The following is a 21291-nucleotide window of genomic DNA, read 5'->3' as shown; positions in this document are numbered from 1 at the left end:
TGACCTCACCCACCCAGGGCCTTCTCTTGCTCTGGCCCACCTGAATGGGTCTGAAGATGAGGCTTCACTGGCTGCCCCCAAACTGCAGTTGCTCCTGCAGCTGGACGTGTAGTCTTGACTTTGCATCCCAGGGAGAGCTGTGTGTTTGTAGCCTGCCATTTCTGTGAGTTAATTCCAGAGGCAATTATTGTATTGCCTGCTCTTGCCACAGCCCCTCGATGGAGCAGCTCATAGGCCATTTGATCCCGTTCTTTATCCAATTGCTAATTGGGCCAGAGGTGAATGCCCAGTCGAAGCCCAGAATTGTGTAGCAGATTTAAAAAGTTGGGCTGAGCCAATTGATATTTCTCTCCAAGATTTGGTATCGAAAACTTAAAGAGACTGCTGCTAGTGTGTAGCACGGAGGTGATGTGGAGCTGGAAGACTTGGGGGCCTTGTACAAGCTGATGTGCAAGCAGGAGAAAGCAGGTGTGAGGGAGAGCCAGGGCTTGGAGCAGACCCATGGGGAAAAGGAGAGGCTGGGCAGGCCTGGGAGCTAGAGGTCAGGTCTCCATTCCTGAGTCCTGACTCTCCTCAGTTTTCTCTCACAGGTTCTGTGAGATCTTTGTGAAGTCCTACAATCAATAAATGCCTTCTACTAAAGCTAGTGCAAGGTGGGGGAGGTTTTCCTCCATACAGCCAAGAATCTTGGTGGAAACAGAACCCGAGGTAGCTGCAGCCCTTGGAGAGCACCTGAGGGCAGTGAGAAGTGTTTCTGCAGAGGCAAGGATGGCATCCCCAGCGCATCAAGGAGGTTGACTCCAGAGGGGCTTATTTCACAAAGCCTTTGCAGCACGCCTCGGGTCACGGGCCACCTGGGCCAGTGAGATTCAAAAGGAGAGGAATTTCGAGAGGCAGGATTCCAGTAATTAGTTGAGATTGCTACAGATAGGCTGACAGGAGTGAAGGAGATCCTTTCAGGTTGGGACAGTGTGAGCAAAGACTCGCGAGTAGGAATATAGCCATTCACCATTGTTATTATTGCTGTTCTCAATTATAATTATTATATGAGCTTACATGCAGTCAAGTCGACTTCCTTTCCCTGGGTAAACATGTATAGATTAGTGACACTACCATCACCTTCAGGACACAGAGGAGCCTGTCACCCCCAAAACTCCCTGTGCCCCTTTGCTTTGAGTGCTTCACACTCCCCCACCTCTACCCCCCGGTGATCACTAGTTCTCTCTCACTAGTGTTTTACCTTTTCCGGAAGGTCATATAAATGGAATCATGCACGGTATCTTTTGAGATGGTCTTTTCACTCAGCACGATGCCTTTGAGATTCATCCATGTTGTTTGTTGTTGTTTTTAATTGCTAAGTAGTATCCCATCGTATGGATAAACTGCAATGTGTTTATCCACGCCGCATTGTTTCCAGTGTTTGGTAATTATGAAAAGAGAAGTTATACCATTTATGTACAGGATTTTGTGTGAATATACTTTTTCATTTTTTCACTTTAATTACCTAGGAATGGGACTGCTGAGCTGTATGGCAAGTGTAGGTTTAGCTTTGTTTTTTTTTTGTTTTGTTTTTTGTTTTTTGTTTTTTTGAGATGGAGTCTCTCTCTGTCGCCCAGGCTGGAGTACAGTTGCTTAATCGTGGCTCACCGCAACCTCCACCTCCCGGGTTCAAGTGATTCTCCCGCGTCAGCCTCTGAGTAGCTGGGAGTAGTACAGGCACCCACCATCATGCCCAGCTAATTTTTTTTTTTTTTTTTTTTTGGTATTTTTGTAGAGATGGGGTTTCACCACGTTGGCCAGGCTGGTCTTGAACTCCTGACCTCAGGTGATCCGCCTGCCTTGGCCTCCCAAAGTGCTGGGATTACAGGCGTGAGCCACTGCGCCTGGTTTAGCTTTGTATGAAACTGTAGACTTTTTTGCAGAGTGGCTCTGTGATGTTGCATTTCCACCAGCAGTGAATGAAAGTTCCAGTTGGCCCACATCATCGTGAACATGTGGCTTTGTCTTCTTTTTTTTTTAGCCATTTTCATAGGGTTATAATGGTATCTCTATCTCATTGTGATTTTAATTTGCATTTTCCTAGGGGCTGATAATGTTTAACATCTTTTATGTGCATATGTGCCATATGAATAATTTCTTTGGTAAAGTGTCTCTTTTTTTGCCCTTTAAAAAAAAAGGATGCAGGCCAGGTGCAGTGGCTCACGCCTGTAATCCTAGCACTTTGGAAGGCCAAGGTGGGTGGATCATCTGAGGTCAGGAGTTCGAGACCAGCCTGACCAACGTGGCGAAACCCCCCTCTCAACTAAAAACACAAAAATTGGCCTGACGTGTTGGCTCGCACCTGTAATCCCAGCCACTCAGGAGGCTAAGGCAAGAGAATCGCTTGAACCCAGGGGGCGGGGCGGTGGGGCACAAAGGTTGCAGTGAGCGGAGATCGTGCCATTGCACTCCAGTCTGGGCAACAAGAGTGAAACTCCGTCAAAAAAAAAAAAAAAAGGAAAGAAAAAAAGTGGATGCTTTGCTTCTTACTGTTGAGATTTGAGACTTCTTTATATTTTTCTGAATATAAGTCTTACACTGAGTATGTGAGCTGCAAATATTTTCTTCCAGTCTTAACTTGTCGTTTGTTTTCTATTGCTCCATTTATCATTAACTGTGTTTCCCTCTGTTTATCTTTGGTATTTTTTTCTATCCTGATGTTTACTAAAGCCCGTCTAGCTTTCTTATGATCAGTATTTGTATAGTATGTCTTTTCTTGTCCTTTATCTTTTAAAATATACTTTTTATTTTGGAATAACTTTATGTATTCAGGGCGTTCTCATGTATCCTTCACCCATTTTCCCCTGATGTTCACATCTTACATTATCATGATATGTTGTCAACACTAAGAAATTAATACTGGCACAATACTATTAACCAAATTACAGACTTTAATTTGGATCCACCCATTTCTTCACTAAAGACTTTTTTCTCCTCTAGGATCCAATTCAGGATTTCTTATTACATTTAGTTATCATGTGTCAGGGATGGGCTCAGTGGCTCACGCCTGTAACCCCAGCACTTTGGGAGACTAAGGTGGGAGGGTCGCTTGAGCCCAGGAGGTCGAGATCAGCCTGGGCAAACAGTGAGACCTTGCCTCTACAAAAAATCAAAATAAAAAATTAGCTGGGTGTATGGCATGTGCCTACCGTCCCCTCTACTTGGGAGGCTAAGGCGGGAGGATTGCTTGAGTCTAGGAGGCTGAGGCTGCAGTGAGTCGTGATTGCATCATGGCATTCCACCCTGAGTGACAGAGCAAAATCATATCCCTGAAAAAATAAAATTAAATTAATAAAAATTTAAAAAATTAGAAAGTTATTGTGTCTCCTTGGTCTCCTCTGATTTGTAACACTTTCTCAGGCTTTCCTTGTTTTTCCTGACCTTGGCAATTTTGGTGAGTACCGGTCAGGTATTTTGTAAAATCTCCCTCAATTTGGGTTGTCTGACACTTTCTTATGATAGACTAGGGTTGCACAGGTGTAGTGCCCTTCTCATTGTATCATCTCAGGGAATACCTGATACCAACATAACTGCTGACTTTAACCTTGATCTCTTGGTTACAGACTTGTCTGCCACATTTCTCTCTGTCAAGTTACTGTTTTATTTTATTTTATTTTATTTTTTGAGACGGAGTCTCGCTCTGTCACCCAGGCTGGAGTGCAGTGGCGCGATCTCAGCTCACTGCAATCTCCGCCTCCCGGGTTCACGCCATTCTCCTGCCTCAACCTCCCGAGTAGCTGGGACTACAGGTGCCTGCCACCACGCCCGGCTAATTTTTTGTGTTTTTAGTAGAGATGGGGTTTCACTGTGTTAGCCAGGATGGTCTCGATCACCTGACCTTGTGATCCGCCCGCCTCGGCCTCCCAAAGTGCTGGGATTACAGACGTGAGCCAACTGTTCGATTTTTCCTTTCCGTATTCTGTTTTTTGGAAGCGAGTCACTAAATCCAGCCCACACATTGGGGGGAAAGAAATTGAGCTCCACCTCCCGGAGTGGGAAGCCACTCCTCAGACCAGGATTAGAAGATTTTTCTTAGGGCTTCTATTTTCACCCAGTGCATGGTTCTAGATTTCAGGTCACCTTTGAGTCAAGGACACGATGGGGGAATCCTGGAGGAAAAATCAACAGGAAATTCACCAACAGTTTGCTCTTACTTGAAGTTGTTTCCTTGGCAGATTCACCCACTATCATTTGCTTTTCAGAGTCCTTAGATAGCTGCTCTATGATTTATTTGCAGGGTTTTCAGTTGCTTTTAGTAGGAGCAAGACAGAGTGAAGGGTGCATATACCATCTTGATTGGAACCAGAAACCCCTCATTTATTTTTTATTCTCCAATTATGTCACGTACTCCCATTCACTCATTCACATATCCCTCATTCTTTTATGCATTATTATATACCTGCTTATAAAATCATACATATGTCAATGAATACCCCTGATTTGACCACATAATCAGGTGTTATGCTAGTCACTACAGATACAGACATGAAATATTGTTACTATCTCAAAAAATTCTTGGGCTACAAAGAAAACAGATGAATTATTAGATGTAAATACAGTGGAATGACTGCTATGATATATGGAAGCCCCAACTGCCTTAAATGAGGGGATCTGTAAGGAAACAGCCGCCTGGCTTCAGGAAGTTGTCTCCTTTGGGGACAAGTCAACGTGGGGTAGGCAAGCATTTCACTTTGAGAGGACAGCATGCACTGAGGCACTGGATTAGGAAATCAAGGGGGCACGTTTGAAGAAGTGGTGTCTTACCTCCAACCTAGGCCTCCCTGAGATTTCAGGACAGGGGTATGACTGAACACAATCCTAGAGTGGAGCACGAGGACTCCTCCAAGGTCATCCCTGAGTTTAGAAAATTTACATTTGGTGGTTGGTCTCTCCTATCCTATTCTCACCCATCCTGGGAAGTTCCATCTGCTTGGTTTTCTATTATTTGCAGTAGTGTAGGCTTTGTTTCAAGGACCCTGGCCAGTTTGTCAGAGGACATGCACATCATCTATGAAGGGCAGAAAAAGCAGCAGAGCCTGACTTTGCAGCTGCGTCTGAAAAAGGGTCAGAGTAACCTGGCTCCCACCCCGTGTTCAAGTCCAAGAGGACCCAAGTCCTGAGATTGACCAGTTATCCTCAAGAGCATTCCATCTGTCTCTTTTCTCCTCGATTCCAACCCCTGGGGGCTAAGATTCATTCCCGCGATACGTGCAGGTCCTACAGCCTCTCTGGCCCTTCCCCTGTGCTTGGCCAATTCATTCAGCCATTTATTCATTCATGCACGCGTGGATGTATCCAAGTGTATTCCACTCATATTCTATGCCAGACCTTGGTTTCACCATCCCTTTCCTATGAAAATTTTGTTTTGCCTTCTACGCTATTTCCATTTTTTCTACCTCAATGATTATTTCTTCCACTTTCTTTTGTTGGATTCTATTTCTTTCTCTACTCTATAAACGTGGATGGACCACCTTTGAACTGTTCTCATAATCCGCCCTACTCCCACATTCTTTAGCCCTGCTGTACTCACAGCCAAGGCAGCTGTGCAGTCCAGTGGTGAGACAGGGAAGGGATGCAAGCGTTTTACTCAGTCACTTAGTCTGCCTGCCAGAGCCTCAATTCCAGTAGCTGGGATTTTCCCCTTATTTCTGAGACATTAATGGGATCCCTAGTTATAGTCATCTCTTGTGCTTGTGTCCCCTGTCCCTAAATTTCTCCCTTGAAAATGTGTTGGGCTCTTGCTGCTCCTAGCCTTTTGTTTCCTCCTATAATTGGAGCTCCTTCACCTGCAAACTCAACACCAGGGCCAGCCCCCCATCTTGGAACACAGAATCAGTTCCCTGTGGATCTGGTCCAGTCTTCACTGCATGCTTCAGTATAAAGAGAAAAGCACAAACTGGGGTCAGATTCATCTGTGCTCCAATTCAAAATTGTGTGAGGCAAGTTGTGCAACTCTTTGATCTCAGTTTTCTTATTGTAAAATTGACCACAGGCAAAATTTCTGTTATCTACTTTCTGTTATCTACCTATCTTATCTATCTATCTACCTAACAAAACCCTATGTTTATATAGATATCAAGTAATCACAAACTTCTGGGGAGGAGGTTGAAGCCCCCAGTGGGTTAATCTTGATCTAAGCCAATCAAAGTAATTCCTTTATTTTGCCAACAACTGCTTTAAGTATGTGCATGTGTTGAAATTCTGGCCAATGAGGCATGAGGGGTATGTTTGCTGGGAGACACAGGGAAAGCATTTCTGCAAAAGAAAAAGGAGCCTCAGGGAAAGAAACACATACTTTTCTGCCCCAGAATGTTGTTATCTTATGTGATGCCTGGGCTGTGTTAGCCATTGCATGAGGCTGCATGTGGCAGACCAAAAGGACATGCCATTCCCCCGGGGGAATGGCAAGGTAGATTAATGAGAAAACCTGGTTCTGGATAACACTGTTAAGCCGCTTAATCAACCCTGAAACTCTGCCTCCTCCAGTCTTCTTATTGCATAAGACTTTTTTTTTTTTTTTGTTTAAGTCATTTTTAGTTGAGTTAATGCTACTCACAGGCAAAACTATTCTGATATACGGCATTAGAATACCTATCTTACCATGTTCAAATAAGAGACTCTCTGCTCATCTTTTAGATCTCAGTCCAAATGTCACCTCCTCAAGAAAGTCTTCCCTGATTGTTCATCCGAGCTCACATTGTTCTGTCATACATTTGCCATTAGCACTGTGTATCGTTCCTTCTTTTCTTTCATAGCACTGACGAGCGTTTGTTTATCTGGTTATTCACCCTCTCCCTCACTAATCTATAAGCTCTGGGAAGGCTGGCAGTGTTTCTTTTGCTGACCACTGTGTCTCTTGTAGCTAGAATGGTGCCCAACATGTAATTGGTTCTTAAATATTTGTTAAAGAATAAAAATTAATACATGAATATCAATAGGAAAAAAAACTGGTACATAGCAGGAAAGTTTATCTTTGTGTCCTTTCTGAGACTGAAAGTTGATCAACTCTCTCCTTTTTTTCATGTTGACAGATGACTTTGTACCCAGTCATTGGCTGATGTGTTTCAAAACAACTTTAAATGTACTTTGAAATGCGCCATTATTTCATCCCCTCAGGAGCCGGTGCAATTCCCGCCACCCCTTGCTACTATTCTTTCAGCATTCATGACAGTCAAGCAAACCCTTTCTTTGATTTTTCTTCCTCTACAGGCTCTAGGTGACTGATTAGTCATTACTTGTGAATAATGGCCAGGGAGGTTGCTGAGCCATGGAGGAATCTGGCCACCTGGCCACTGAGCACTCAGCTCTCAGCTAGTAAGATAAAAGCAATTTTGCCACCAACACCATCCTAATAGGATGTCCAAAGAGTTTCCTTCCACTGTTCAGTAGGGACCATGAGGATCATGAATGGAAGGTGATATGAGGGTTTGGGGAGGAATAAACTGGAACAGCTTGTCATCCCTCAGGAGTATTTCGGAAACAAGCCAGCACACCATGGTAATTTATTTTTGTGACACATTAGTTTGCCTTGGAGGGAGAAAGTATGAGAGTTTGGAGAGTTAGAGTTTACAGGGAGAGGGGCAGAGCTTATCCTTAGTTCTCTCTTATCCACTGACATGGAACAACAAGGATGGATGGCATTAGTAACAATAATAAAAATTACAGGCTCAAAGGAAATGGAGTTGACAGCAGAGAGTACACATGGTTAGTTATCTAGTCCAGCATTTCTCAGAAGATATTTGGCAGAGCACAAGTCTCTCAAATGCCCTTTGCTAAAAGGTTCATGGTTAAATTACTGTTCTTGGAGAACAGCATGCACTTACTTGTCCACCACCCCACCCCCAGCCCTTTTGACTGTACTTTGCTCAGTAAATAGGAAGGTCCCTGCATTATAAATAAATCAACTGGCTTTGTCTAACCCAGTGTTCTGGTGTTCATTTCACCAAGGAAACCCTTATTTTAAAAAATGAATATTAACAGCTTCTGGAAGGAAGATATTTTAGGAAATGCTGATGTGAGCAAGGGTGGTTACTAGGTACTCTTATCTAATATTTACTGAGAAATTTATTTATTCATTCATTTATTAGAGAAAGATATATTGAGAGACTCCTTTGTGTAACGTAATGGGCTGGGAGCAACGAACACAGATTTGGCCAATGCCTGCCTGAAGCTTATAATCTAGTGCACAAGACGAAATCAATTTCCCAATTAATTTCTTTTTTATTACTGTGGTGAGTCTACAATGAGGAGCGTAAGATATATGTAAATTTAAATAATGGTATAAAATAGATGGTTAGGGGTAACCAGGGAAGCCATGCTGGTTGTCCGGGACCGGGGATGTCCTGTGATGGGTGACTTTCAGTTCTAAAACAAAGACAGTCCTGGGCAAATCAGAATGGTTGCTTACCCTAATAGACCATGACTCCTGGAGTGCCATCTGAAAATCTTATTATGGCAGAGAGAACTCTGCCAGGCCGGAGACCTGTTCTCTGGGGTTGCTTCAGCTCCCTGAGCCTGACTTTCTGTCTCTGGGGAGTGGAGGTGATGAAGTCTCCTTTCTCTTATGTTTTTTGGGAATAACAAGTGGAGTGATTCCTATAGAAAGCCTTTACCAGATATCACACGCTTCCTAAGCACAAGGGATGAGTATTCCTTTAGGGAAACTGTAGTTTGTCACTCCTTGAAGGAAAGCCCCTATTTCTCCAGAAGAGGGTTTTCAGAGCACATCTCTCGCCACACATCCAGGTTTCTAAATCCTCCAGCAAGAAGCGTTTTTCACAGATCCAAGAACAGAAGCACCTGCGTAAGTTCACATGGGAGGTGTAAATCATGGAGGGGAGCCATTGAGATGCTTCAAGACAGCACTTCCTCCAGGCCAGAGAAGGCCTCAGCCCAAGAAGCAGCTTCCTGCTGCTAGGCAGGGTGGGGACAGAGGGCAGTGCCTGGCCTCTGCAGAACCAAAGAGCAGGCTTGCAGTGGGCTTGTGTACTCAGGCGAGTCTCATGATCTTCTGGGGTTTTAATGTCTTCCTCCGTAAGGTGGGAATATTGATTTTTATTTCATCCAATTATTGGGAACTTTATACTACTGCTACTAATATAGTCAGAATTTAATGAATTTACCATGCACTAGAAATTGTGCCATGTGTTTACATATACATTTAATCACCACAAAAAGTAGATTTGGTTATCTTCCATCTGACAAATGTAAAAAATGGGGCTTAGAGAGGTTAGGAGGCTTGCCAAGGTAGGGTGACCAATTGTCATTGTTTGCCCAGGACCAAAAGTCCCACATCGTGGGCAATCCCTTAGCCCCAGGGAACCTGGGATGGTTGGTCAAGCTAGAAAATCATACAATTAGCAAGTAGTGGAGCTGATATATATTTGAGGTAGAAGATTATTTGTTAAAATTGCTAAAAACACAACCAGCAACAATTATTATTGCCATTTTATATAGTATGTATATATCATATGCTTATATATAATGTATACATAAGATACATCATATTATTAATATAGTAACACTCATTATTTGATGAACTGCAATTTCAGTATAAACAAAGGGCTTCTAGCCTTCTAAGAAAGCCCCTTTCCATTAATAATGCTCATCTAACATTAGTGCTACTCATCAGTATTTATAGTTTTCTTCTTTCTGTGCCCAGAACCTTTGATCTCAGGCATGACCAGGTGATTTGTTTTGACCAATGAAATGTGAGTGCAAGAGATGTGCATCACTTCGGGGCAGAAACATGCAAGAATCAGGGTGCAATTTTTCATCTTCCTTGCAGTAAATGCTGATGGTGCCTCTCCCATATCATTTTTGCTGGCTGGGACACACTCCTCAGCTGCTGTGAGGGTTGGGGTGCTAACAGATCATAACTGTCTCTGCTCAGCAGGGTTAAGAGCACCAAATCCGGAGTCAGGCCACCTAGTTCAAGTCCAGCTCTGACATGAAAGGCTGTGTGCCCCTAGGCAAGTTGCTTAACATCTCTGAGCCTTAGTTTTCTTATCTCTATAAGGGAGAATTCCTACCTTATACCGTTGATGTGAGGATTATATGAGTAATGCTTTTAAGACTCTTGTAACAGTTTGGCACATAGTAAGCCCTAAGGTTGGCTGTTTTTATTTCTCCTGCTTTACTTGTTCTCTAGCATAGTATGACAGTGCATACCAAGGTTCCTCATATGTTGCTCAAAAGACAATTTTGATTAACATGTGGAGAGCCGAATTCCAGAGATGCTGAGCAATTTCTTCAGCATCACATGGGGCTTAATACTGGAGTTTGAATAAGAACCAAGACAGGAGAATGAGAGTAATAACAACAAGTCAGCAATTACTATTCACTAGGTACTGCATTATCTCATTTAATCTTCACAAAAGCATCTGAGTGGGACATTATTATAACCTTCATTTTACAGATGTGGAAATAGAAGCAAAAAAGGTGAAGTAAATTTTTACTGTTAGTAGGTAGTGGCAGAGTTAGAAAAAATAGAAATTTGATATTTTAGGATGAACTATTATTTAGCAACAAAAATGGGAACTGTAATTACTATGTTTAAACAATGTGTTGAGTATTAGTTTCTGTTTAGAAGAGTAAACATGATTGCTTATTTATTTATACAAGTATTACATACAACATACACTATTTTATACTTTGCTCTTTATAAAGTGACCTTTTAATTTTAAGAATATCTAGATTTGCAGAAAGATTGCAAAAATAGTACAGAGAGTTCTCACCTACCCTTTGCCTGACTTTCCGCAAGGTTAATATCTTACATTACAATGGTGCACTTGTCAAAACCATGGAATTAACATTGGTACATTACTATTAACTAAAATCCAGACTTTATTTGGATTTTGCCAGTTTTTCCACTAATGCTCTTTGTCTATTCCAGGGTCTAGTCCAAAGACTACCAAATCTTAAGTGAACAAAAAGCCTTGGCGATGATGTAAAAGTTTGTTTGCTAATGGAATAAAGATTTGATATTAGGGCAGTGTAATTATAGGTGATATTTTTTCCTATGTTTAAAGCTTTAACACTTTTGTTACATTAACTATTTAGGAGATGTTATTATTGGAAGCCTCCTGTACTGTGAGAGGCTGGCATTGTCCAACTCAAACCAAGTTGTGGACTGGAAGAAGCACAAATTATCTGCTGGACCCATGGTATGAGGGAAAAGCATGTGTGAGTATGTGTTGAGGAGTGTAGGTGATGGGAGAGCTGGTCCACCGTTTGTCACTAAGGAGGAACAGGAAGTGGCAGGGGCTGGATGCACCTACATTCTGCCTTGTCAGTCTGTAATCCAGTGATTGGTAAATCTAGAAGTGACTTCAAAGATTTCTTCAAAATTGGCTTCTGAGGTTCTTAGAAAAAACATTTATTAAACATCTACAGTTTTCTAAGCTTTCTGTTGGCTGCCTTACATATACTGTCTCCTAGAATCCTCAAAATAAGATGTCTATATTCCCTTTTTATCTTATTTTATTTATTTCTGAGACAGAGTCTCACTCTCTTGCCCAGGCTGGAGTGCAATGGCATGAACACAGCTTACTGCAGCCTCAACCTCCTGGGCTAAAGTGATCCTCCTGCCTCAGCCTCCCAAAGTGCTGTGATATCAGAAGGGAGTCACAATGCCAGGCCCATATTCCCATTTTAAAATTCAAAAGAGAGGTCAGAGAGGATAAGTGACTTGCCCAAGGACACACAGCTTGTCAGTGACAGAGCAAGGATTTAAACTCAGGTTTTTCTGAGCTTATTGGTTTTTGATGTTCCAAATTACACTTTTTTGACATCTCCTCAAAAAAAGTCTTTTTGGAATTTGACATCAAAGGGAGGTCCTAACATTCTACTGGGCATTTGGCTAAGAGGCCTGAAGGGATACCTAGCGAAAGAATAAGAAGGTTTCAGGAGGCACAGTGGAGTTTTACGTGTGGATGTGTGTTTGCAGAGTTGATGTAGATTTCAATCTCTCACTGCTCTCTCCCTCAGCTGAACAATAATAAGAAATCTTGTGTCATCTGGTTAAAACTAGCATTCTGGAGGTTTTGGAGCGGGGCCAGCATGTGCATGAATGAGCAGGGCTCAGTCAGCCTCCAGGTCCATTCAGGGGTTCCCTTGAAACTGACCAAGTTGAGTTTCCTGAGTTGGATGCTTGGGAAACCTCCAACTTGGGTTTGAGGGTTCACATGTGCATTCATGCACACATACGTGCACATGCATGCACATTCACGCACACACATACATGCACACACACGCACACAATAAATAAAGCAGAATGAAAAAGCTGGAGGCACCCCAGTGTGCCCTATTTACAAACCGCTTACTTCCTTCCGGGTGTTATTTGATTTTCTCCTTCACTGAGAAATGGGGAGACATCAGAATGAGTGATGTGCTGGAGAGAGGCCTCCCAACCATCCCTCAGTCTCCCTCGCCCCCTCGGTCTCTTTCGTGTGACAGGATGCCCTCAATTACTCTCTCTGGGGGGGTCCCAGTCAGAAAGAAGATGGAGCCAACCATCTGTTACCGACTCAGTGAGCAATTTAATTTCCTCTTGTTCCCAGTGAGGAGGATTTCGTAAGTACATAAATTAACGTCAGTCCTGCTTAATCAGAAGCTGGCCGTCTAAAAGGGTGGAGACGGTCAAGCCAGAGACACCCACTGACCAGGTCCTACCAGGAGGACATCTTGCACGCTGGTAGGAAAACCATATGAGAGAAATGTCAGACACAGAAACTTCCTTAGGGATCATCGAATCTGACACCTCTTTTATAACTGAGGAAATCAGAGCCAGAAAGGAAAAACAATCTGTCTAGCTAGGCAGGGCAGAGTTAGGACTTGAACTAAAGAGCCCCAATTCCCAAAATCACTCTTCCCAACACAACACAAGGTAGAACAATGACTTGATTACTCGACCTTGGGTTTGATCTCTAGAGGTAGAATAAGAAAACAATAGTCATGATAACAATGACAACCTCAAGAGCTACACTGTATGTAGCCGGCACTGAGAGAGGCAGACAGTGTGGATTTATTGAGTGGGCTCTGGAGCCAGGCTGCCTGGGTTTAAATCCCAGTTCTGTCACTTACTAGCTGTTGGTCGGAGGGCAAGTTCTTAACCTCTGGGATTTAGAGCAGACATTCTGAGTTCGTGGCATCTATCCCTTCAGATCCCTTCAGTACTTGCCTCTGATCCAGCCCCACTTTCTATGGCCAGCACCTGCATCTTTGTTGCAGGGCTGTGCTTGGGCTTCCAGAACCCACTTTGTCAATGTGCTCTTTGTCAATGTGCAGGCCCAGTCTTCTGGGGGCAGCTTTGAACCAACGACCGACAGATAATGAGGGTATAAATGCCCCAACTCCCTTGCCTCTTGACTGGGATAGTTCCAAGGCACGTGTTTTGCACTGTTTTTCACAGTTTCCCTGAAAGATTAAGCACTAGTTACCCACTGTAGTAGCTGACTTAATCATGCGGTTATTGGCTGGCTTCCCTTTTCTTGATGTTACCCATGCTCTTTGCACCTCTCCAGAAATTATTTCCACTTGAGATCTTGTCTCAGGATCTGTCTCTGGTTGGTTAGTCCAAGATCAGACAGTGCCTCAGCTCTCTCAGCTATAAAACTATGATAATAATAGTTCTTATATCACAGAGTTGTTACGGCTAAATGGCCTAAAATGCAAAGAACAATGCCTGCCACTTAGTGAGAATTCAACAAATATTAGCTATGTGTCTGATAAACACTTATTTCATTATCTCATTAAGTCCATACTGTACATACTATTACTACCATTATACAAATAAGACCATCCAAGCTCAGAGAGGTTAAATACTTCTCCCGAAGACCTGTAGTTGTAAGGAAAATGTCAAGATCCAAACACAAATTCACTTTCAAAGTTCCTTCCATTTTTGCCTTGGCCAGGAGGTTATCCTCAGTACTCCCAGTCTGGGTCAAGGGTCCCTCCTCTTGTGCTCCTGCGACCTCAGCCACAGCATTTGCTTCAGGGTATTAATATGGCCCTCCTGCTCGTTGAACTGTTCCTTTAAGCTATGAGCTAGGCATCTCTGTAAGCTCAGCATCTAGCCCAATGCCCAGCACATAGTAGGTTCTGGTGAGTGCTGAATAAATGACTACACAAATCCAAGCAGTGCGTAAGCTGCAGAGGCAGGCAGAGGGTGAAGCCCGGCATGAAAGTCTGTCTCATGGCCTTCAGATTTCAATTGGAAGCATCTTGGAAATCTTCCCAGGCAATTCTCTTCTCCTCCCACTCCTACTGCAGACAGGATTTGCAAATATGGTTGGATAGGTCTCTTGCGGGGGTTCCACAATTTCATCAAGGTGTCTAGTCCTCCCTAAAATCTTGTCAGGAAGACAAGGATCTCCCAGGTGACCACGTAGAGATAAGCAGGAATCTCATCACAGTAACTGCTCCATGTGAAGTCATGCTGGACTGGCAGAAGCTTCCAAGGACTGTTACAAAATATGAGAAAAAGTAGGCAGGAGATGAAAAGTGGGTTAATGAGGCTGAAAATACAGATCTTCTAATGATAGTGATGGTCTAATCACCCCCAGCTCTTTTGAATGCTTTATACAGACGGGCCTCAACATATTGTTTAAGAATCCACATTCTGGAGTCAACATTGCCTGAGTTTGAATCTTTCTCTGTCACTTACTAGCTGTGTGGTCCTGGACAAATTATTCAGTCTCTCTGTGCCTCATTTGTCTTACTTGTAAAATGGGCATGATACCTACTTTCCTCACAGGATTGCATAAATAAATAGCATGTAAAATGCTGGGGCCAGTGGTCTCGCACAGAGTAAGCAAGTAGGCAATTGCTGGTTTTTACCAGGCACTGAATAACACTTAAAGTAATAAAGAGTGGACTAAGACAATCTCTGTTCTCAAAAAGCTCAGAATCTAGGGTTCAGGTCACTAAACTTTTTTGATTATATACCCCTTCTATAATAAAGAGCTTGAGCATGTTCCTCCAATAAATGTTTCTTTACTGAAGGGAGATGAACAATGAAACCAAGAAGAAGGTACTGAGGAGTACAGAGAAGCAGTATTCAGCCCAGCCCTGGGGGTGGTGACCAGTGGAAGTCATGAAAGGCTTCCTGGAGGAGGTGATACTTGAAGTGAGTTATGTGGGATACATCAGTTAACTGAATAGAGAAGGTGGGAGAGAGCTTTCCAGACAAAGGAAATATCCTGGGCCCAAGATGATAACTGGGTAGTGAAAGGACAGTTTGAGAAATATTGAAAAGTTTGGTGAGGCTATGACGTTGGGTGGGTGGGTGGGTGGGGAACGATATCTCTGCTGCTTGGGATATAGACCTGAATCCTATACAGAACCCATTAGCTCCCAGGCCCTGGCCCCCACCCCCTCGCAGTCCCACCTCATGCCACCCTCCCTACGTCACACTGCCTCGCCCATAGTGACTGTCTTAGGTCCAGTTCTTCCAAACTGGACTCGAAGCCATGGATTCAGACGCAAGTGGTTTCTGCTCCAAGTATTCTCAGGTGAAAGCGACAGAAGCAGGAGAAAGAACAGGAAGAAGCCAAGTTAGAGGGTGATTTAGGTGGAGTTTCAGACTCAACTTAATCCAGCAGGAAGCTCTGGTGTAGAACTAACATCCCAGACTTTGTCCTGTGTTCTTTCACACTAGCCAGACACTGGCACTGGACACCTGAGGAGCATGTGAATGTCCAGACACTGCTGGCTCTCTGTACACGTGTGGTGTCTCCAGGGCCCCGGGCAAGCCTCTGAAGGTCACAGGAGTAAGTGAGCTGCTAGCAGCAAACATAAGCAGGAGGGATCCCAGAACGTGAGGGCAGGGGCGGAGTCGAGGAAACAAATAGTGCCCAGCATGCTGGCCTTCTTTTAGTTCACTGAATGCTCCCAGCTGTCTGCTTCCTACCTGAGGCCCTTCGTACCTGCTGCACAACTGCCCGGAACCCTCTCTAGCCCATTTCATATGGCTAACTTCTCTCATCCTTTCCATCACAGCTAAATGCCATTTCCCCAGAGAAGCAGTCTGACCCTCAAGACTTGATTAGGCCCATCTATTATTTGTTCTCAATGCAACCTACATTTTCCTGCCTGCGACTTCATAGCAAATTGTAAGTAATTATGTATGTAATTAGTCCCCATGTATTAGGCAGAATTCTGTCATATGCAAATGACAGAAAACTCAAACTAGCTGGAACGAAAAGAGTGGAATGTCTTGGGTAGCTGGAAAGGGTGTGAGTGCGACTCAGAATGGAAGGACAGACGGATTGCAGCCACCGGGGCCTCAGGGAGAGGACAGGGTCTCCACACAGTCAGATTCTTTCTCTCTCCTCATCTCTGAGGTTTGCTTGACCTCCTCTGCTAATACTGCACATATGGAGGGAACATGGTCACTGGCATCTCCAGGTCCACACCTCACAGCTGCTGGAAAGGTGTGATCCCCCTGCATGAGTCAAATACCCACCCACAGAACTGTCTCCACCTAGGACGTGGAGATGGGCTACTGTGAATGGCTGGGCCGTGGTCATGTGCTCACCCTGCTCAGCACTGCCACTGAGAGGGCCCTCAGTGTCACATGACCTGGAAGGGCAGTGCTACTCCTCAAAGGATGTGTTAGGGTGCGGCAGGCCCACAACATTTGTATCTTTTTTAATGCTATATCCCCCACAAATACTTACAGATATTTTCTACTAGGTGTCAGCCACTGTTCTAGGTAGTAGAGGATATGAAAGTAAAATCTAAGTTCTTGCTTGCATTAGAGCTTATACTGGAATGGGGGAAGACAGAAAGCAAGCATGTTAATAATCACAAATGTCTCAGGTGGTGATATGTGCTCTGGAGAAGAACAAAACCGGGTACAGAGGGTGGGGGATGGTGAAGGGACACTATATTCCGCAGCATGGTTAGAGATGGCATGTTGAAAGTGGCACAGGCAGTACCAGATGGTGAGGCTCTTCCGTGTTGTTCTGATGGATTGGAACTGAGTCCTCCTGCCCGGCTTTCTCCCTCCTTTTCTTCTCTCCCTTCCTCTGTTCATTCTTTTGCAGTTTTTCTTAAAATGTAGTCTTTAGATTGTATGTATCAGAATACCCACTGGGGGCAGGATACTTGTCAAAAATGCAGGTTCCCAGGCCTCTCCCAAGACCCAGAGATTCAGACTCTCCGAGGTGAGGCCTGAGAATCTGAATCATTAACCAGCTCTCCAGGCGGCTCTTAGGCACATTCACATTTGACAACTATTCTCTGAGGTGGTAATGAGATAAGAGAGGCTCTGAATAGGGAAGAAAACTGATCTCACTTGTGTTTTAGAAAGATAGGTCTGAAATCTACACAGAGGGTGGCTGCAGGCCCAGAGACTGGGCTGTTGTCGAGGTCCCAGAGACCAAGAGAAAACATGTGGCCAGAGGTGCTGGGACAGAGAGAATGTTTAGGTGACAAATGGAAAGGAACTGGTGACTGCTTGAGTGTGGGGATGAAGGAGAAGAAGTGGTTCAAAGGCTTCCTCTGGTCTGACTAGGGTATGTGGGGGTAGCAATACCATTCACCCAAATGGGAAGTGCAAACATCGCTGACACTGCACTTCTTTATTTAAATACTCTACAACCAAGAAGTAATTTTAGAGTCCCATATTAGAGGAGTAGCTTTTGACTACATTGAGCAGTTGGATACAAACGTTCTTAATTGTTTATTTTCTTTCTTATCTTCCTAGTATTTCTACTTTTTTGAGCTTCTGAACCTTTACCCAAAAGGAGTTGGTGTTAACGACTTGTTTTTGTAATCTCTGATATTAGTGTGATTCATTTGCCAAGGGGAGACCATTAAGAAGGAGCCAACTTCATCTCCATGGCATGGAGTGAGAGGTGGGGAATGATACTGAAGAGCTAAGAGATTCAATGCACTAAGAATATGGTGACCAGAACTTCTGGTTGTTCCAACTGGGAATCTTGGGTGAAGTTGGCTGCTCTGTTGGAGAAAGCTCCCCATTCCCACATACCTGTATAGAATCCTGTAGGATAGGGGATATTTCCTTATCTCTCTTCACTCTCCTCCAAAGCTCCAATGGATGTATTCTAGGTACAACTAGCTAATAATTGAGTGTAAGAATTATATTAGATAATGCTTAAAAAATTCTTGGCACTCCATGCCACTCCACTTCATTTCCTCAATGAAGGAGGCTGGGCAGATATTACTAGCCTCCTTCTACACATTCAGAGAAATGAAGTGACTTGCCTGCGATCACAGAGCCAAGATAAAGATCTGGCTTCAAATCTTGGCCAGTTGTATTTTAAAGTTTCTGTGTTTTTCACCACAGAGTAGGTGAGGCTGGGCAAACTGTGAGGACCTCAGTTAAACAGGCTGGTGCTGGGGATGGCTTCTATGCCAGGAGGAAAGATCATGACTAGTCTGAGAAGCTGAAGCAGCAGCCATCTGATCCTCTACTCCATGGTGGCCCTTTCCAGACTACAGACTGTGGTTTCTCTGCTCATCAGCAATCAAATCTAAATTATCTCCGATATTTGTTCAATAACTCAGACGTGCTAAGGTTAGCTGTCTTATAAATTATGGAACAGTTTAACTGAGTTAAGCCTGAGGCATAAATAACAGAGACTCTCCACCCAGTGACAGGGCACAAGGCTGGAGGCAGCAAAAACACAGTAATAGTGACAGAAAAAAGGACTATCTTCCTCTTTTAGGAGAAGCCTGACAGGGAGGAGGAAAGTAGATGAGAAGGGGGCTAGGCAGGAGGGAATTCCAGGACGAGGGGATGACAGAGCAAAGGAAACAGGCCCTGGGGAAGAGGAGGAGCTTTGTGGAGGCAGAAGCTCAGTTTACTGGTGAACATGAAATCATCCTTGGGGGTGTCTGTGGGACGTCCAGTGGAGGTGTCTGATGAGTGCCTGAACACATGGGTTACCGCTTCTCTGTTAAAATGTGGGAAACAGCTATAATGCATAAGATATGAGTGGTAGCTACGACCATGGGGGAAAAACAAGGTCATGGAAAGCATATAGAGTAAGGAAAGAAAAGAAAATTGGTGAGAATGGAACATCAGCAATTGAGTATACAGGAGAAAGATAAGCCAGTCATAGAGACAGAGACAGAAAGGCTAGAATCTGAACAGAAAAAAAGTTCTACCAGAGTTCAGAATCCTGAGGGAGGAGGATGCAGCCATTGCTAGATATGGGGAAATAGACAAAAGCAGAGAAAAAATACCCTGACTGCTCTCCTCCTGCCCACCAATCTCCCATTGGATGAACCCAATCTGAAGTCAACCAGTAAAGGGGTCCCAAGTAATGCAATCCACAAGGCCTGACTCTCAAAGATGCAAGTCCTTGAGGGCATCTGCTATTTCCTACATTCTGGAAATGAGAGTTTTGAGAACATAGGAGTGCTCAGGGAACAATGTCAAATGATACTAAGGCTCCTTCACTGGAAGTCTTTGATGGTTTTGGAGGAAGAAGCTTTGGTAAAATGGTTGGAGCTGAAGCTTGACTGCTGGGTGGGGAGACTGTGGAGACTGTGAAATTAGGTTATTTTTCAGGAAGTTTGAGAAGGAAGTGAGTGAGCTGGGACATGCAGGGGATGCACTTTGTTTAATTTTCTAAATGTGACTCATATCTTTGGGGTGTCAAAGCAACATCTTAATGTTGCAGTGTACCAGGCTGGACTTTGGTTCTTTTCTCCACCTATAACGTTACACACACTGTATTGGTGACGTATCCATTCTAATGGCATTAAATGCCATCTATATGGTGATAAATCCCAAATTTATGTCTCCCACTCAGATCTCTTTCTTAAACCCAAGACTCATAGATATCCTTAACTCAACAAGTCAAAAAGGAATCCTCCATTTTCCTTCTTCCTAAATCAGCTCCATCTGCAGCCTCCTCCATCTCTAGGAAGCAACTTCATCCTTTCTACTTCTCTGCTGTTCTGACATGAAATCATCCTTTTTTTTTTTTTCTTTTTCTCATGTCCTACATCCACGCCCTCAGGAAATCCTGTTGGCTCTACTGTTTATATCCAGAGAGCTACTACTGTATTCACAGAGCTACTACTTCTCACCATCTCTACTATTACTGTAGTCTCAGGCATCATCCTTGCTATTCTTGCTTGGATTATTTCAATAGCCTCTTATGCTAATTCTGCCTTTCCTTGCCCCTTAACGTCTGTTCTCAACACAGTAGTAAGAGTGATCCTTTAGAAATCCAAGTCAGATAATGTCACTTTTCTGATCAAAACCCAACCATGGACCCCATTTCACTCAATCAAAGCCAAAGTTCTTCAGTAGCCTACATGATCTGTGTCCTTATATTTCTCTTTTTGATGTCACCTCTCTTTATACTTGCCCATACTCTACTTCTACCTCATTGGCCTCCTTGCTGTTTTTCAAGAACTCCAAGAAGCTCCCACCTGGGAGCTTTTGCATTGCCTCTCCCTTCTGCTAGAATATTCTTCCTCCAAATATTCATGTGGTTAACTCCCTGCTATGGTTTGAATGTGTCCCCCAAAGTTTATGTGCTAAAAAATTTATACCCAATACAACAATGTGGAGAGGTTGGACCGTTAAGAGGTGATTAGGTCATGAGTGCTCTGCCCTCATAAATGAGTTAATACTATTCTTTCAGGAATGGGTTATTGTGTGAATGGGTTCCTGATTTAAAAAATCAGTTCAGCCTTTTCTCTTTCTCTCTCTCTCTCTCTCCCCCGCCTCCCCCCCTCCACACAGACACAGACAAGCACACACACACACAAACACACACACACACACACACACACTCTCTCTCTCTCTCTCTCTCTCTCTCTCTTATGCATGGACTCTCTTGCCCTTCAGCCTTCTACCATGGGATGTCGCAGCACAAAGTCTCTTGCCAGAAGCTGGTGTCATCTTCTCGGACTTCCCTGCTCCAGAACCATGAGCCAAATAAATTCCTGTTCATTATAAATTTCTCAGTCTGTGGTATTCTGTTATAGCAGCACAAAATGAACTAAGACACCCCCCACTTCTTGAAATCTCTTCTCAAATGTCATCCTCTCAGTGAGACTTACCCTGACCACATTATTTAGAATCACAACCTATCCACCTTCCTCTTTCCCACACTTCTGACCCTCTTACCCTCCCTACTATTTACTCATAGGGCTTTTTGTTAAGAGGGATAGTTAAGACTGCCTGTGTAAAGTACCCACCAAATGTGCAATCCTGCCACCTTCATGAGAGAAGCCCTACAGTCTGGCTGGTGCCCTGGGTGA

The 21291-nt window shown here is 43.7% G+C and overlaps 1 protein-coding gene and 1 long non-coding RNA gene across 5 annotated transcripts in view; both read left to right on the top strand.

The window, feature by feature from the left end:
• DAB1 (DAB adaptor protein 1) overlaps positions 1-21291 on the top strand; it is a 1551949-nt gene that overhangs the window by 92310 nt on the left and 1438348 nt on the right. The gene's annotated exons all lie outside the window — the stretch shown is intronic.
• On the top strand, positions 3861-20987 carry LOC107984960 (uncharacterized). Of its 4 annotated transcripts, none has more exons than XR_001738074.2 (3): positions 3861-11204; positions 15043-15166; positions 15698-20987. It is a non-coding gene; the product is annotated as an uncharacterized LOC107984960 (long non-coding RNA). The 4 variants fall into 4 exon arrangements; XR_001738075.2 differs by having other exon boundaries at positions 3861-15166; positions 15698-15809; positions 16039-20987; XR_001738076.2 differs by having other exon boundaries at positions 3861-15166; positions 16039-20987.

The sequence above is a fragment of the Homo sapiens genome, chromosome 1, assembly GCF_000001405.40.
Source record: "Homo sapiens chromosome 1, GRCh38.p14 Primary Assembly".
Taxonomy (NCBI): Eukaryota; Metazoa; Chordata; class Mammalia; order Primates; family Hominidae; genus Homo; species Homo sapiens.
The sequence above is the reverse complement of the archived record's forward strand: the minus strand, read 5'-3'. Positions and strand labels throughout refer to the sequence as shown.